At 54.8% G+C, this 16762-nt stretch overlaps 1 protein-coding gene across 3 annotated transcripts in view, besides 3 other annotated features; it reads left to right on the top strand.

Annotated features, from left to right (window-relative positions):
* The window catches only part of COL5A1 (collagen type V alpha 1 chain), a 203041-nt gene that overhangs the window by 100497 nt on the left and 85782 nt on the right, over positions 1-16762 (top strand). For all 3 annotated transcript variants that reach the window (NM_000093.5, XM_017014266.3, NM_001278074.1), the window contains exons 12-18: positions 8243-8317; positions 8491-8583; positions 10290-10346; positions 11551-11604; positions 11974-12027; positions 14466-14519; positions 15944-15997. In NM_000093.5, coding sequence (NP_000084.3) covers positions 8243-8317; positions 8491-8583; positions 10290-10346; positions 11551-11604; positions 11974-12027; positions 14466-14519; positions 15944-15997 — 441 coding nt within the window. The remainder of the gene's footprint in view (positions 1-8242; positions 8318-8490; positions 8584-10289; positions 10347-11550; positions 11605-11973; positions 12028-14465; positions 14520-15943; positions 15998-16762) is intronic.
* Positions 8525-9037: an enhancer, noted in NCBI's record as "H3K27ac-H3K4me1 hESC enhancer chr9:137642670-137643182 (GRCh37/hg19 assembly coordinates)". NCBI's record gives its function as "activates a minimal SCP1, AML or CMV promoter by ChIP-STARR-seq in naive and primed H9 embryonic stem cells {active_cell/tissue: H9 hESC(naive and primed)}" and the evidence as "EXISTENCE:reporter gene assay evidence [ECO:0000049][PMID:30033119]".
* Positions 9038-9550: an enhancer, noted in NCBI's record as "H3K27ac-H3K4me1 hESC enhancer chr9:137643183-137643695 (GRCh37/hg19 assembly coordinates)". NCBI's record gives its function as "activates a minimal SCP1, AML or CMV promoter by ChIP-STARR-seq in primed H9 embryonic stem cells {active_cell/tissue: H9 hESC(primed)}" and the evidence as "EXISTENCE:reporter gene assay evidence [ECO:0000049][PMID:30033119]".
* Positions 10393-10599: a silencer, noted in NCBI's record as "fragment chr9:137644538-137644744 (GRCh37/hg19 assembly coordinates)". NCBI's record gives its function as "represses an EF-1alpha promoter that drives an FKBP-Casp9 reporter gene in an ReSE screen in HepG2 liver carcinoma cells {active_cell/tissue: HepG2}" and the evidence as "EXISTENCE:reporter gene assay evidence [ECO:0000049][PMID:32094911]".

A 16762-nucleotide genomic window follows, 5' to 3' on the forward strand; every position in this document is an offset into this window, starting at 1 on the left:
CACCGTCCAGTGAGGAAGAAAAGGCACAGACCAGGCACGGTTAGACAGCAAGAATTAATTAGTAAAGGCATTGGAGGAAGAGCTGGGAATCCCGAGATGGGAGGTCTGGAGCGGCTGTGTCCGGGTGGAGAAGGGGCTCGAACCATCATCCCATCCAGTTTCCCTCAGGTGACTGGTGAGCAGGTGCACAGCTGGGGCAATGTGCCCGCAGGGAGATAGAGGTAGACCTGGGGTTGAACTCAGATCTCCTGTGGCAGAAGGAAGGTGGCCACTCTTACTTTGAGGTTCAGAGGAAACCCAAGAGAGCTGGGAGTCCCCAAGTGAGCTGCAGGCCAGGTGGCCGTTACTCAGCCCCTCTCTGGCCTGGGTTTCTTGTGGGTCTGGCTTCTGTGCCACCTGCCAGTGCGTTTCTGTAGGGGCTGACTCTTTTGCGCATCCGGGAATATAGTGAGATATCAGTGGGTCTGAAATCATGAGGCTGTGCATTTGTGAAGGTTCCCTATGATGCCATGGTGGCAGTGCCGTGCCCCTGTGGGTCGCTGAGCAGTGTTTGCCCAGCGAAGCCCTTCCCTGGGCTCCTCGGGCAGGTGGGGGAAGGAGAGGGCTGGGGACCATCAGTAAAGATTCAGGCCCCAGTGAGTCCCGCCTTCCATGGACTTCCAGGGCCCACACCTGCTAGCCTCGATAGAAACACCCGGAAGGCAGGCGCCACCTCTGTGCTGCTTGTGAGCGCCCCCTACATCCATTCGCGTGTGTGCCCCAGAGCTGGTGTCCACGGATATTTGTGCCTAAGAAATGTTCCCTGTGATCAGAGCGTCTTTGAGGCGAGTCCCTTCCTTTCCCTTCCCCGTGTGCCTCTCCAAAAGCCTTGCACCCCAGGCACTCCTGTGTTTTAAGGCAGCTCCTGAATACCGTCCAGTGTTACTGTGGATTTGATTGCATTTTTCAGGATGCTGTGGCCAAACTCCTCCTGAATCTCCGCAGTCCACTGGAGAGTTTAACGTTTTCATCTAGAAATAAGCTTGCTTACCGTCTAATTGACTCCCGAGAGCGCCAGCTGGTGTTGACCAGCCACTCATCTATTGCTCTTAAGAGAGACTTCACACAGATCTTTCCACCTACAGCATATTTATTACTTTTGGGTAAAGTAGCGATCTGCTTCTGGGTCTGTGGGCAGGTCCCACCTGCTGGGGGGCCTGGATCCTCCTCTGGGAAGCCCCAGGGATTCAGTATGCAGGTTTCTTTCCCAGCCGCCTCAGGGTCAGAGTGGAGGCAGTTTCCCAAGCTTTCTCCAAATTGCCACACAGGGGCACCTCGCTCCCTGCACAGTGGGATGCATTTGATGCCTTGGGAGGAGGCCCCCACCCTTCAATGACCCCATTATGTGCAGAAGCAGCCTGGCAATAATGATGCTGCCCGGCGCTGTCTTATCAGCCCCTCCTGTCACTCAGCAGGGGCTCAAACCTTCTCCCCCTCTTTTTTATGTGTCCAGGATTAGCCTTCCCCATGGGATTTTGCGTGAGTGCATTTTCTGTGCCTTGAAAAGTTTCGTATGTAAGCCATGCCCTGAAAAACAGCAGTCACTACCTCCCAGCCAGAAAGTGTGGCTCACCTCTACCTAACAGGTTCTGGTGTGGTCTCCCCAGGACCAGCCTTGGGGTGATGCCCTGCTATGCCATCCCCTCCCCATGGCCTGCTGGTGCTACACCCAGGGTGGGAGAGGACACAGGCTAGATCACTGGCAACTTGACAGAGTGAGCAAGTCCACTCACGAGCACGCAGCTGCTGTCTGACTCCGAAGGAGTTAGCTTCGAGAAAAGCTGTGGGGAAGAAGCAAGCAGCATGGGATTCATTTGCTTTCCTGGCTCCCAGGCTCCTGTGGATGGGACACGCCAATCCAGTCTCTCCTTGTCTTTAGAAGTGTTCAGGACATCTTGGCAGAGCTGCTCAGAGAGGTTCACACACACACTCAAGCACACACGCTTGCACACTCACCCACACATGCACTCACATTCACATGCACTCATGCACACACACTCATGCCTACGTGCACGCACTCATGCATACATGCCCACACATGCATACATGCACACACTCAACCGTATATGCACACATGTACACACCCACACACGCACACACTCATGTGTACACGCACACACTCACCTATACATACACGTATGCATGCACAGTCACCCACACCTGCACACACTCATGCACACCCCCATACATGCACACTCACACCCACACATGCACACACATCCACATATACATGCATGCACACACACTTACACATGCACACTCACCCACACCTGCACACACACTCATGCACACACTCACCCAGACATGCACACAGGTACGCTCACACACATGCACACACATTCACACATGCATGCACACACCCATACATGCTCTCACACAGTTACACACACATGCACTCACACACCTGCACACACATTCATGCACATGCTCACTCATACATGCACACACATACACCCACACATGTACACACATTCGCACACTCATGCATGCATGCACACTCATCCATACACATGCACACACATTTACACACATGCACTCACACACCTGCACACACACTCATGCACATATGCACACACCCAGGCGTGCACGTGCACACACATCTACATGCACGCGTGCGCTGTCTGGGTTCACCTCCACACGGCCCTTCCATGGAGGCTGGTCTGCAGGCTTGTGTGCCCGAATCCCCAGCAGCCTGGTCGTGAATGACTTCTGGCCATTTCGAGTCACATTTATCTTCAAAGCTTAGTCCCCTGAGGCCACTGATAGGAATCTGTCCAAGCCTCAGGTGCCATACCAGGAGATCAGTGGGAACTGTGGGTTTCTCTGCTGTAGCCCTGGAGGCAGTGTGTGTCTCCCAAAGCGAGCTCAGTGTTGAAGATTCATTGGAGGGTATACATTATCATATGGAAAAGAAAATCAAGTACAGTTTGTGGAGAGAGAGGTGAAGGGAGCAAAGGCCTCGGGACATTTCTAGAGTGAAGGGACAGCTGGCAGGAGCTGCATGAATGGCGCCAAGTGCACTATGCTGTAGGACCCCATGCAGGGTCTGCCAGGGTGTTCATCACGGTCAGTTAGTGGCAATGGCTGGGTGAGTCCAGGAGTCTTTCTCACGTGGGCCCCTTAAGGCCGCAGGTCTTACCCAGAGCCCCGATTATTGGTGGCCTATGGATAAAGAGCCCCTCCTGTGGATTTTCTGGTTGTTAGTTCTGGTTGAGGGGTGCGGTCTGAGGCATCAGGCTTCTTGATAGGGCCCCGCTTCCAGTCTTTTAGATGGGCCCTAGGGCTCCTGGAAGAGTGTCTGTCTAGCTCTTGGAAGGGGCTCAGTAGGAACCCTCTCAATGAACGAACGAATGGTGGGTTCATTTCTTTGGGATCCTCGGACAATTGATGACCAACTTGGGGTTTAAAGCAACAGGAATGTCTTCTCTCTTAGTTCTGGAGGCCAGAAATCTGAAATCAAGGTGTAGGCAGGGCCGCACCCCCTCTGGAGGCTCCAGGTGAGGGTCTTCCTCACCTCTTCTGGCTCCTGGTGGCCACTGGCCGTCCTCTGCCCTTGTAGCTTGCCGGCGCATCTCTGCAGTCTCTGCCTCTGTCTTCACCCAGCCCTCCCCTGTGTCTCTGTCACTGCCTCCCCTCCTCTTCCCTTACAAGGACTCATCATTGGATTTAGGACCCAAGATCTCATCTCAAGATCCTCACTCCCATCCTCAAAGACCCCAAGTAAGGGCACAGTCACGTGTTTCAGGACCTGGATGTACCTTTGATGAGAGACCCTTCAGCCCACCGCGCGTGGTCATGCACGTACGTGTTCTGCACAGCCAGGAGATGTCCAGCAGGAAGTGACCACTGAGAGCTTCTCCCAGCCACTCCCGAGCTGGGCCTGCCCAGGGTCGGGCCTGGACAGAACCACATGCACACAAAGGTTCTGGAGAGACGCCTGCACACTGCCCTCCTGCTCCAGCTCTTTCCGAGAGTGGAAGGGAGCTTTTCAACACAAAGCCTCCTGCAGGCCTACAGCTCCTCCCAAACCTGCCACCACCATGAAGAGAAAAGGCTCAGAGTTCTCTGCTCACTGCTTTGACCCAAATCCCGGCCTGGAAAGAGGCCTTGTGCCTCTCCCCTGAGGTTGAGCCGAGGGTCTCGTGGGGACAGTTTCACGTGCTGAATCTGCAGTGGCAGAGGGAGCCACTTTGTGAGGCATCTGGTCACCCAGCCACATCGTCTCTGTGCAAAGGACGTCTGGACGTCCTCAGGAAAGAAACCCTGTTAGATACCAGTGGTGCCTTCATTTGGAAGTAGGCACCTGATTTCTTCACCTGGTATAGGTATGACACTGAGAGCCCTCCTGTGCCAGGGCCTTCAGAACATTGCTGTTTGACCAAGTTAGGGCACTGATTTGGGGGCCAGCTAATGGAGTAACAGGAAAATACATGCAAATAGCAAAGGCAAGGTGGGATTTCTTATTTTGCCATATTTTGCCTGTGGCTGGAGCCAAGCAGCATCCGCATGACCTGTGTGTGGGCCTGCTGGAGCGTTCCCTTGGTGTCTGACACCTGCCTTGTCGCAGACAACAGCCACATCGCTGGCCCGTGCTTTGTGTCATGAAAATTGGAAATGTGACTTTGAGGTGTAGCCGTGTCTTTCAGCCCAGGGGTCAAAGTCTTTACGTTAGAGACCACAGGGCTTGGCAAAGGCTTGCTGACAATGTTTCTAAGTGATAGCAAATGCAGGTTCATGTTGGTGGCCCTGAGGACTTGTGTCAAATTTGAACACTTCGGAAGGGTTCATGGGGGTGGCGACATTCTTTCCTTTCTTCTCCACACTGTCTCCTTCTTCTAGGACTTCACGTTATCCTTGTTCATCTACGTTCCCATTCTTTGGAATTGTTCCGGGTGTCGGTGAGAAGCGGCATCAGAGGGAAGTTGCTTTCACAGCCTGGGGATTGGATTTTCACCACCGTGGCTTAGAACAGGCAGGAAGGATGCTGAAAAGAGGGTCTTTGGAAATGGACAGCAGTGGACAAGGAGTGGCCTTGAGGAGACTTCCTGGCTTCCTACAGCAACACCATGTGAGCAGGAGCATGCATGCACAGACACACATGCACACACATGCATTCCCACACAAACGTACACATGCATACACACATGCATTCACACACATGCACACACGTACACATTCATATGGACGTTCACACATCCACACACACCTGCATATGCATGCATACATGTATTCACACACATGCATTCATACACACATGCATTCACACGCACATTCACACACATGCAGATACATGCACACATGCATTCATACACATGCAGACACATGCACACATGTATTCATACACACATGCAAACACATGCACACATGCATTCATACACACATGCAGACACATGCACACATGCAAACACATGCACACATGCATTCATACATGCAGACACATGCACACATGCATTCATACACACATGCAGACACATGCACACATGCGTTCATACACATGCAGACACATGCACACATGCATTCATACACACATGCAGACACATGCACACATGCATTCATACACACATGCAGACACATGCACACATGCATTCATACACACATGCATTCATACACATGCAGACACATGCACACATGCATTCACACACACATGCATTCACACACACATACACATGCATTCACACACATGCATTCATACACATGCAGACACATGCACACATGCATTCACACATGCACACACCCACAAACATGCATGCACAGACATGCATCCACACATGCATACACAGACATGCATCCACACATGCATACACATGCATTCACACATTCCACACGTGCACACACATGCATTCATGCATACATTCACACACATGCACACACCCCATGCATTCATATGCACACCCACACACATGCACACATGCATTTACACATGCACACACATGCCTTTACACATATATGCACATGCACACACACATGCATTGATAGTCACATACATGCACACACATGCATTCACACATTCACACACATGCACATACATACACTTACATTCACACATGCACACACATACACTTACATCCACACATACATGCACACACACTTACACACATGCACTGCACAGACAGCAGCTTGTCCTTGGGAGACACTGACCCCAAATCTTAAATGCAAGGTTTGGTTTGGAATTGATTCCGACACAGGAATCTCAGCTGTAAGTGGCTATGAGGATTGTATGTCAATGACAAAACCTGGGCGGCAAACATGTTTTGGATCTTTATTTTTTAAACACGATTTTTGTCTTCTGAGAGTGTTTTCCAAAATGGCAGTTGGGAGCAATTGGGCAGTATCCATTAGCAATTCAGAAATATACACATATATACATTCTTTGACCCAGCAGCACTGCTTTGAGGGACTTACCTAGTAGAATATGTTAGCACGTCTGTCGGGCAGTGTTTGTCATAATGCAAACTGGAACCAATCCAACGTGCATCGGCAGAAGACGGGTTAAATAAACAAGGAGTCCATTGTGCCTGGGAGATGCAACAGATGTTGCCAAGGATATCTACAGAGACAGGCCATGATTTCAAGAGCAAATTGCAGAATATTTAGGGACAGTATCATTAAAAAGAAAGAGACTGGGCGCGGTGGCTTATGCCTGTAATCCCAGCATTTTCGGAGCCCGAGGCGGGTGGATCACGAGGTCAGGAGTTCAAGACCAGCCTGGCCAAGGTGGTGAAACCCCGTCTCTACTAAATATACAAAAGTTAGCCCACGCTGGTGTGGACACCTGTAATCCCAGCTACTCGGGAGGCTGAGGCAGAGAATTGCTTGAACCGGGGAGGCGGAGGTTGCAGTGAGCTGAGATCATGCCACTGCACTCCAGCCTGGGCAACAGAGTGAGACTCTGTCTCAAAACAAAACAAAAAAAACAAAACTCCGAAGCCACACAGCCTCATAGTGATGAATGTGTTAGTTAGTGTGTCCAGCATGTGCGTCTTCATCTTTGCCTTTGCACTTACAGAACTTGAGCACTGGTTACATCCGGAGATGAAAAGGGACCTTTCACTTTCACTGTATAAATGTGTACCTTAAGCCATTTCACAAGAAATGGAGTTACTTCTGCAACAAAAAGCAACCAGTAAAGACAAGGCAGGCAAGTTTAGGTTCAGGCCCAGATGGCTCCACAGCCTTCTGGATAGTTCCAGAAAAACCACTCAGGTTCTTGGTCTTTCTGTCTGGGAGTTGGGAATCCATCATGGGTTTCCTGGCAGGGAGCGTCTCACTCAGGTGGTGTGAACACACATGCTCAGTGTAGCTGTTGCTGATTCGGAAGACTGCAGCCAGCACCCATCCGCTACACTGGAGTGTAACTGGAGTGTAGTTGGTGGAGGCTTTTCTCACTGGGGAGAGGGGGTTAAGCTCCAGTCTCTATGCAAGACAAGCCTCATCTACTTTAGGCCAGCTGAGAATCTGCTTGCTTTTGTGAAATAGCTTTGTGATCAAATATTATTTTGAAAATAAATCATCTTACTGGTTTTACATGCGTATAGTGGTCTGAAGCTGGCTGGAATTGGTCTAGAGAATCCAGTCCTAGGTATGTCTGTGTGGCCAGGTTGGCTGGGCGTGAGGAGGGCACTGTGTCGTTTACATATAAGTGGGTTCTTGAAGTTGCTGTGGCTGAGTGTGTGCTCTGCTGTGTTGCGTGTCCATCCACGCAAGTGGCTGCTCCATCCCGTCTTCCATCTGAGCAGGCACAGGCGGCTCGCTCGGAGCCCATTAAGGACAAGTGCCCACTGGGCACAGGAGGCACTGGGCCTTGAGCCTGGAGTCTTTGTTTCCTGTTGGGTATGGAGACCTAAAAGGGGCGTTCCTGGAGCGACAAGAGCCTGACACTGCCTCCTCACCTTCGGGCTCCTTGTCTCTGCCTTGAGGCCCCAGAGGACGCCTGCTGGGTCTCTGGATTTCTCTATATCCAGCTCAGACCTCCCTCCCTTCTTATCCCTCCCTCCAAAGCCTTTCCGATCCTCAGCCCACAGCCGTGCCCCTCCCTTCTCCGGGTGGGGGTTTCTGAAACATTCCTGCCACGGGGTCTCACAGCTTCTGTGCGTGTCCAGTGCATTTCCCGGGTGGGCCGCTTCTCCGACGCCCTCATTCTCGCTGCAGCCCAGCCCTGGCCTGGTTGCACTCTGACTTGTCTCTCTTGGCCCCTTGTCTTCAGGGCCCCCCTGGACGCCCAGGCCTTCCTGGGGCCGATGGCCTGCCCGGTCCTCCAGGAACCATGCTCATGCTGCCCGTGAGTACCCTTATCAGTCGGAGGTGGGGAGGCAGCTGGGGCAGGTGGGATCCAAACCAGACCCTCTGAGGCTGCGCTGTCACTGGAGAGGCCTGTGGGCCCCGTCTCAGTCTGTGGTCTTGCCTGGGTGCCACGTCACTGCTCCCAGAGTGACCCTTGTCTTACACTTGCAGTTCCGGTTTGGAGGTGGCGGCGATGCGGGCTCCAAAGGCCCCATGGTCTCAGCCCAGGAGTCCCAGGCGCAAGCCATTCTCCAGCAGGCCAGGGTGAGTACTGCTGGGTCCCAAGAGGCCTGAAGGGGACAGAGCCCAGCCCCAGGGGCCAACAGGAGTGAGTGAGTCAGGCTCAGAGCCCAACTTGGAGGGAAGCAGCTGTCTTGATCCCAGAATGCCTGCTTGCTGGGGTCAGGAGCTGTGGGAGCGTCCAGTCCTCAGTGTCCAGTAGGGACCCCGAGAGCATGTCAGTGTCCAGTAGGGGCTCTGAGAGCATGTCAGTGTCCAGTAGGGGCCCCGAGAGCGTGTCACTGTCCAGTAGGGACCCCGAGAGCGTGTCACTGTCCAGTAGGGACCCCGAGAGCGTGTCACTGTCCAGTAGGGACCCCGAGAGCGTGTCACTGTCCAGTAGGGACCCCGAGATCATGGGGACTGTTTGGGGAGTTTCTCAGCAGTTCTTTGTCCATGCTGAGGGTCCGGGTTCTAACTTTACAAGGGGCTTCTGGGCCCCTCCACCTCTGACCCAGTAGGCCCACCTTCCACCGTTGGTGACCTTTGCCTCTGTGCTAGGCCCTCTGCTGGGATCCAGAAGTGGAGCCGGAAACCCACGTGGCTCCTGGAAGGGGCTGCCTGGGCTGGAGCTGGGCTCCTCTGGGAGAGAGCCCTTGGGCCCCAGAGCCCCTCACTCTCAGCCTGGGGGGTCCTAAGGAGCAGGGTCCGCAGAGGAGCACTTGCCTCCCTATTGTGAAGTAGCTCATTAGTGGCCTGTGTTTTCTGTAGACTTGGCTCCGGATTGCTGATTGCCCACGATAGGTGTAAACACTGCCCCGTGGGGCGGGTGGGTGGGTGGGTAATCCTCCAGCGGAGTGCAAGAAAGCTGCTAAGTAATCCCTTGTTTGAGAAATATTTATGCAGCTCCCACAGCAGCCAGAGTAGATGTTAATGATCAGAGTGCTTAGGTAATTACAGGACAGTGTAAGCACAGAGTCGTTACCATGGAGCAAATTGCCTGAATGATGGAAGGTGGTGTGTAGCAAACCCCACTACCTGCCACTGGGTTTATGGGCTTGGGCCTGCCTGGCTGGCCTTTTATCTTGTGTATTTTAATTGAAGCTAAATGGATGATAGGCTATAAGATTTTATAATGCAAAACAAAATATTCTAAAATTCAGATGGCATCTGCCAGGGAAACAGAGTCACTTGGCAGCTGCAGAAGCGGCTCTGTGGGAAAGCGGTGGGCCCTGCACTGGTGCAGGTGGGGGCCACATGCAGAGGGGGCAGGTGGGTTCCTACCCTCCCAAAATACTTCCCCAGTGGCTGGGAGTGCTTGAAGCGCCTCCCATGTGAAATAAAATATGTCATGACTCAGCTTGAGCTCAGGTGTAAAATGTACTCCCTATGCCCAGAGTAAGAGGCTTATTTCTGACCTAGCCAAGGGTGATGGGCTGGGAGCAGGCCCTCTCTGTGTGGGCTAGAGAGACAGGAAGGAGGGATGGGGCCTATCCCCCAAGGGAGGAAACGGGGGCCCACTGGCTTGCACCTCTGCATGTCCCACGTCACTCCCGTGGATGCTGAGAGCCCCATCGAAGTCGGGGGGGGGGGGCCCTTGGGGAGTCATCAGACCTCCTTTTCCAGAGTCTCCTGTCCCTCCTCTGTCCAGTCTGCCCGTTCCCTCCTGCCACATCTCACGGCTCAGGCGCCAGCAAACCGGAGCACTGCTGCTGGGGCCCTGTCTCAGCGTGTCTCACTTTCCTTTGCAGTTGGCACTGAGGGGACCAGCTGGCCCGATGGGTCTCACAGGGAGACCTGGCCCTGTGGTAAGTCATTGGCAAATCTGAGAGCTGGGCGTGGTGTGGGGATTGGCCCACTCCCTGTGTCGTTGGCGGACAGTGGCAGGTGGCCCTGGGGTCCTGTGGACACAGAGCGGCCCTTGGTCCAGTGCCTGTTCCCAGGAGGGTGGCCAGGGGGACCAGGGGCCTCTCTCGGTGCTGCTCCAGCCCCCTTGTTGGTGGGGGGTGGGGATGGGTGACTGTGCCTCGAAGTCACTTGAGGGAGTTCAGCGGGGTAGAGCTGACATCAGCGATCCTGGGAAACAGCCTCCAACTCCATCCTGAATGGAAAGGAGCTGGCAGGAATCAGAGGAGGAGGCCCCTCCTCACCCCTGCATTGGAGTTCCAGGCTCCCCCTGCAGAGAACACGCTATGAGCTGTCACCAGAGGAGTGGCTCCTTAGAGGGATGGGGTCCTGCTGCAGCCAGGGGCCTGGGGAAGTCCCTCGCACAGGCTGTGACTGCCTTGTGGAGCAGGGGCCTCCATTGATCTTTACAGCCCTGTTCCAGAGTTGAAGATAACTAAGTGTGGGGCAGAACGCAGGATTTCCAGCCTCACCCGCCCCTGCCCTGTGGCCTCAACTTAGCTCTCATCTGGGGTCCTCGATGCATGAGAAACATACAGTGTGTGCCCAGGGAGACTTGGGCTGCCAGTGTCAGGCACAGGGGCTGGGTTCCGGGGCCTCTGGGGAGGAGTGTGGGTTTGCAGGCACACAGAGGAGTTCAACACCACAGGGGCCCTCCTGGCTTTGCCACCTGCCACTGGGTCTGGGCTCGGTCGCCTCCACACAGGGCCTGACTCAGGGCTGGCCTCCCACATCTGGGGGATCTGGCCTTGAGGGGCCTGTAGCAGGTGCATACGCTGCTCGAAGCTTTGGGCTGTAACGGACCACGGTCAGGTTCACCCCGGAGAGAGAAACATCTCCAGGAGCTTTGTGGTGTTTGCGAGCCCCAACAACTAGAATTGTATTCCTGATTAGGAAGAGATCCAAACAACTGCATTTCCCGGCTCCTGGAAAGTCATCGTTCTTCCCCCCGGTTCTGTTCGAGGCAGACAGGTCGCGCTTTGTGTGCTGAGCACCGTGGCCGAAGCCCTGTCCCCTCCCCCTGCCCCTCCCCTGCCACCCCCAGCCCTTCCTGTGTTCTCGAGTCCCCACCTCGAGCAGACATTAACACACACCATGTCTCCCTAGGGTCCCCCTGGGAGCGGAGGTTTGAAGGGCGAGCCGGGAGACGTGGGGCCTCAGGTATGTGGGATCCTTGCCTTCGCTGTCTGGTGGGCGCCTCCCGTTCTCCGGCGGCAGCGACGGCGAGCATGGAGGGACCCCAACTGCTGCATGTTTTCAAGGAAATTCGTGGGAATTGTCCTTGCTTTACGCAGTGCTGAGGGTGGAGCACAATGAACTCTGACACCTGCGGCAGAAATGAGCTGGCTGTATTCTGTCCCTGGCCTTCATTCTGGGCAGCAGATCCGTGTCCCGTCCCCGAAGTGCCCACATGTTTGTGGCTTGGACAGCCAGGCATGGGCAGGGTCGATGAGCACAGGGACAAGGCTTTGCTCTTTCTCCTGAGAAAGGCGGACTCGCCACTGACCCTTTGTCTCTTACCCCTGGCAGGGTCCTCGAGGTGTGCAAGGCCCGCCTGGTCCGGCCGGGAAGCCCGGAAGACGGGTGAGTGGTGCGAGTGTGTGTGGTTTAGTGACAGCAGCTTGGGCGCTGGAGGAGCCCAAATCTGGGGTGCGGGCACCCCCAACAGCCAGCTGGGCCACATGAAGCCAGGTGGCTCCCCTTCTTGTGATGGGTGCGTCCATCCCCAAGGCTGCCTCTGAGCCAGCTGCCTGGGAGGGGCGCTCTGTGTCCTGGGCGCAGACACAGCGGACCAGGCCTCTTCCCTGGGCACATTCATTTAGTTTAATAAACCTTTCTAATTCAAGAAACTTCCCAGGCCCTTTGGGAGCAAATGTTAAGAAGACAAAACTATCAGCGGGCCTTATATATTTCGGGCAGCACTGGGACTCCAGAAATGGCCTGATTCGGGGGCATGGGCGGGCCTTCCTGCGCCTTACCTGCTGTCTTGCCTCCTGGAATTTTCTGTCTGGTGCATGGTTCTCCTGGATGGAACTGGTTTGTTTGCACATGACCCTGGCTTCTAAAAGAGGACACACGTTTCCCGAGTGCTGACCACCACCCAGACAGGCTGGGGCAGGCCCTGGGAGCCCAGATTGTGCTCTCAAAAGTGGACCTTTTCAACCAGCAGACCTTTCTGGTGAACGAGAGAAATTTCGGTGCAGGGTTGGATTTGTTTCAGTGTGGACCTCTTCCCAGTATGTTGTCTACCTAAGCTACCCTTGACTGCTATAGTCTGAGTCAACAAGGCAAAAATGGGTCCTTCCCTAGTGGTTCTGGATGCTCCTGACTTGGGGAGCAAGCTGTGGTTAGTGGGTAGAAATGACCCGATAAGCCGCAGTTTGGCAGGTCCGAGGGTCTATGCAGGGATCTGGGCATGAAACAGAGGCCTGGGCTGGATAATTCCAGGAGGATTAGCAGCTCTGGAATCGACTCTTGGTAGACAATTGGGCCATTTATTTGGATCTGATTCTGAAAAATGTTTTATTTCCTTAAGGTGTTTTTGTGTGTCTCCGTAAATCCTTCCCACCCAGTTTCACTAGAACTGGTTTCCTAGAGTGAGGTTAAAAACTGGAACAAGAGGAGACTCGGGAAATGCTGTCTAACATGGCCAGCTGCAGAGTTGCATGGTGTCGGGGCCATGCATATGCGTGTGTTTTAAGGCATTAAGTATGCCCAGAAGATCTGCTGCAGAAGAAAAGATGGTGGTGAGAGAGGGGCTTGGAGCTGAGGGGTCGATTCCAAAGTGGTCTGAGCAGCCTCTTCCATTCTTTGCTAGCATTTCCTGCAAGGAACGCTCGCTTGTGAATTGTAGAAGCATCTGGGTGCTTTGCGGGGCTGAGTTGTGCTGTGAAATCCTGTGAAGTTTTCCGACAATCTTCCCTTGGTTTCTAAAAGTGTTTGGAAATCTAGAAGAGGCTCCCAATGGGCCCCTCCATTTGCCCAACAGGGCGATGTCTTTTTGGGGAGCAACGGGAGCACCGACTGTCTCCTTGGGGTGTGTTTGGATTTCTCTCTTTTTGCTTCTCGGCTGTTCTCGGGTGCCACCTTGTCTGTCTCCAGTGCTTTGAGACCCTAAGCTGCCACCCTCCAGATCTTCTCTCTGCTTGGTGGTGGGTTGGGGGCAAGGGCCTCATATGAGGAGGAGCCCCTGGAAAATGGAAGTGCAGGGTGGCAGCCCTCTATACTCGCTGGCTGGGGTGCCTCGTTGTGCAGGGTGGCAGCCCTCTGTTCTCGCTGGCTGGGGTGCCTCATTGGCGTGGAGGTCTGGCTGAGTTTCATAGAGACCCTGTTCCCTTGCAGGGCTCTCCTGTGGTGAAGGTGGGGCCTGCACAGTGGGCCCCGGAAGGTCTAGGTCCCCTCTTCAGCCCCATGGCCAGTCAGTTGGGCACCTTGTCCTTGACTGTGTCCATAGCTGGCCATCAGGAACAGGGCATCTGCTCACCGTGCAGATGCTGCCTCCCGTCGCTGTGTGGTCTGAGTGAGACTGGGCCTCACTTGGGGCCTGGGCCTCTTCCTTAGCCAAGTGGACAAACCAGATGTGTCCTTTCTCTCTTTCCTCTGACCTCCAAATGGTGGAAAGGAGCTGTGCTGTCTGTGATGTCAGTGGCCTGCACTCGCCTGAGTCCTAAATTCACGGTCCCCTAGACTGACGCAGCTCCTCCAGCCGGGTCTCCTCTGCCACATTGTGGCGTCTTCTCGAAGCCCAGGGGCAGTGGCGTGATCCCCCTTTGACAGTCTGGGATGACGTGGTCCGGAAAGACCAGCCCCGTGTGTTCCATCCGTTGGTGTGAGGCACAGAACAGCCCCGCCCGGGCTCCTGGATCTGGGTCCTCGCAGCAGCCCGGCCACTCGGGCTGTGACCTTGGGGGTGGGCGCGGCTCTGGTGGAACGCTCAACTTGGTTTAACGGAAAACCATGGCCCGGGGGTCTCAGTGAACCGGGGCTCTTTTGCATTGACGGTTTTGCCTCCTTTGTTCCAGGGTCGGGCTGGGAGTGATGGAGCCAGAGGAATGCCTGGACAAACTGGCCCCAAGGTAGGTCACCCACCACCCTCCTGGTGCCCTGGCATCACTGTCATCCCTGGGGTCATGTTGATGATGTAACCAAAATGCTGGTTATGTGATGACTACGATTATGATGACAGGTGGCTCCGTCACTGGCATTTGACGTGAAGATAGGGTTGGTGGGTGAATTTCGCCAGCAAGCGTGACAGTTGCAGTTCATTTTCATAAGGGAGAAATTTGCTCCCTTCCAGCAGTGGCGAGCAGGGATGGGGGTGGGATCCCGACTATGAAAACCATCCGTGGCCGTGCAGGTGACGAGGCGCATGTAGGGCAGAGGCGGGGCATATGGCAAGTGCGGGGGCCAGGGGGTCTTGTCCAGTCGGGACTCCTGGGTGTTGTGGAGGTGAGTAGATGTTGCCCGTGGCTAAAGGCAGGGCTGTGTGTGTGGCATGAATGAGGCTGCACCAGGCATGCACCAGCTGTTGCTGTCGCCACTCATGCCTGCCCGCTGCTGTGCTCAGTGTATCCACCCCTCTGCCCCAGCACTGCTGTGAGCATTGCCCCGGTCTTGGCTCACCCCTCCTCCTCGCCTCTTGGAAGCATTTGTCCCAGGCCACGGGGGGCAGGGGAGATACTGACCTTCCGTGAAGAGTGCACCTGGGGACAGCAGCTGTGATTTGGAGATTGGAGACCGGGCACCAAAAAAATGCCAGGGCTCAACTACACCTGTTCCCTCTTAACGGGCGTGGATGAGCTCTGAAGTGCATCCCGTCAGTCCCAAGCTAGTGAGGTGGCCTGGGGTGACAGGAGGAAACGCAGTCTTGTTGACTCTGTCTCAGAAGACCATGGTCTTCTTTCAACAACATGGCTGAAAGCCTAAAATGTCCCATCATCGACATCACCCCAGATGGTGTGCACACCCATGAGACAGGGCCCTGTTCCCGGGCTCCAGGGCATGCAGAAGAGGGGCCGGCCAGAGAGCCAGGATGCCTGAGGGTAGCCAGTGCTGGCCCGTCCACCAATGGGTACGCGTACCTCCTGAGCGCGGGCAGCCCCTCGGCACCATGGATACAGCTGTGAGCGGACACACCGGGACCCTGCTCTCCTGGAGCCTCCCTGGGGTGGGGGAGATCAGCAGCAGACACTCACACACACGGGAAACTGCAGCGGTCGCTGAAATACCGCATGACTAAGGACCCGTCGGGGCCTGGGACTTGGGGATGAAAGTCATCTCCCCCTTTGCAGCCCATGTTCATGTTTGCAGGGGAAGAGGCTGAGATTGTAGATGCAAAGTGGGGGCCTATGGGGAGAGGGCTGGCCGATGGGGTTCAGGGTGCATAGATGCTGTGTGAAACGTGGTCCAAGGCGGGGCGGCCATCACTTGGTGGACACCAAGGCGGGGTGTCCACGTGTGCAGGGTGGCGTCTGAGGCAGCCTTTCTGTCCTTTTTGCAGGGTGACCGGGGTTTCGACGGCCTGGCTGGGTTGCCAGGCGAGAAGGGCCACAGGGTGAGTATTTCCTCTGTGAGACACAGGCATGACGATGGGCAGCAGAGGTGTCTCTCGGGAGGCCCTTCTCCTTCCAGGCAGCCTCAGATTTCCTGTGGGGTCAGGTCTCCGCCATTCCAACAGTCAGTATACAAACCTCACGGGAGTCAGCAATGGCAGTGAGCCCCAAGATGATGTCTTTGTTGATGGGTGGCCAGCCCAAAGGAATTGGAGCTCTTATCTACAGTTTGTGACAAGTGAGCCAGATGGGCCTACCCACCTGAGGCGCGTGAAGGGGGCAGGGAAGGAGCCCTTCCTTTTAGAGATCTGTTTAATGGAGTCCTTTAACATTTCAGGAAATCCAAGCAGCTGCCATTTCAGGGGCGGCCAAGGACACTTTGCAATATTAAAGTGGTGGTCCCAAGGGGGTGGGGACAATCTCAAGTGGCCATGTGGAGACCAGGTCACGAAAACATGCCAGGTGTCCCCCTGTTCCCTGTTAATGGGCGTGGATGAATTTGAAAGTGTGTCCCGTGAGTCCCGAGCTAGTGCGGTGACCTGGGGGTCTTCCTGGCTGCGCCGTTTCTATGTGGTTGTTGGAGAACACAGATGCGGCAGCTTTGGATAAACGGCAACAGCCAAGCCCCTCGAATCTTGAATCTGTCTCAATAGACTGTGGTCTTCTTTCAATAACAACGTGATAGAAAGCCTACAATCTCCTGCCCTGTTGAGGAGGTGTGGTGGGGAAGGCTCGTCCTGGCCGCCTGCCCTGCTTTCTCAGCCCAT

Source organism: Homo sapiens, chromosome 9 (assembly GCF_000001405.40).
Source record: "Homo sapiens chromosome 9, GRCh38.p14 Primary Assembly".
Classification (NCBI taxonomy): Eukaryota; Metazoa; Chordata; class Mammalia; order Primates; family Hominidae; genus Homo; species Homo sapiens.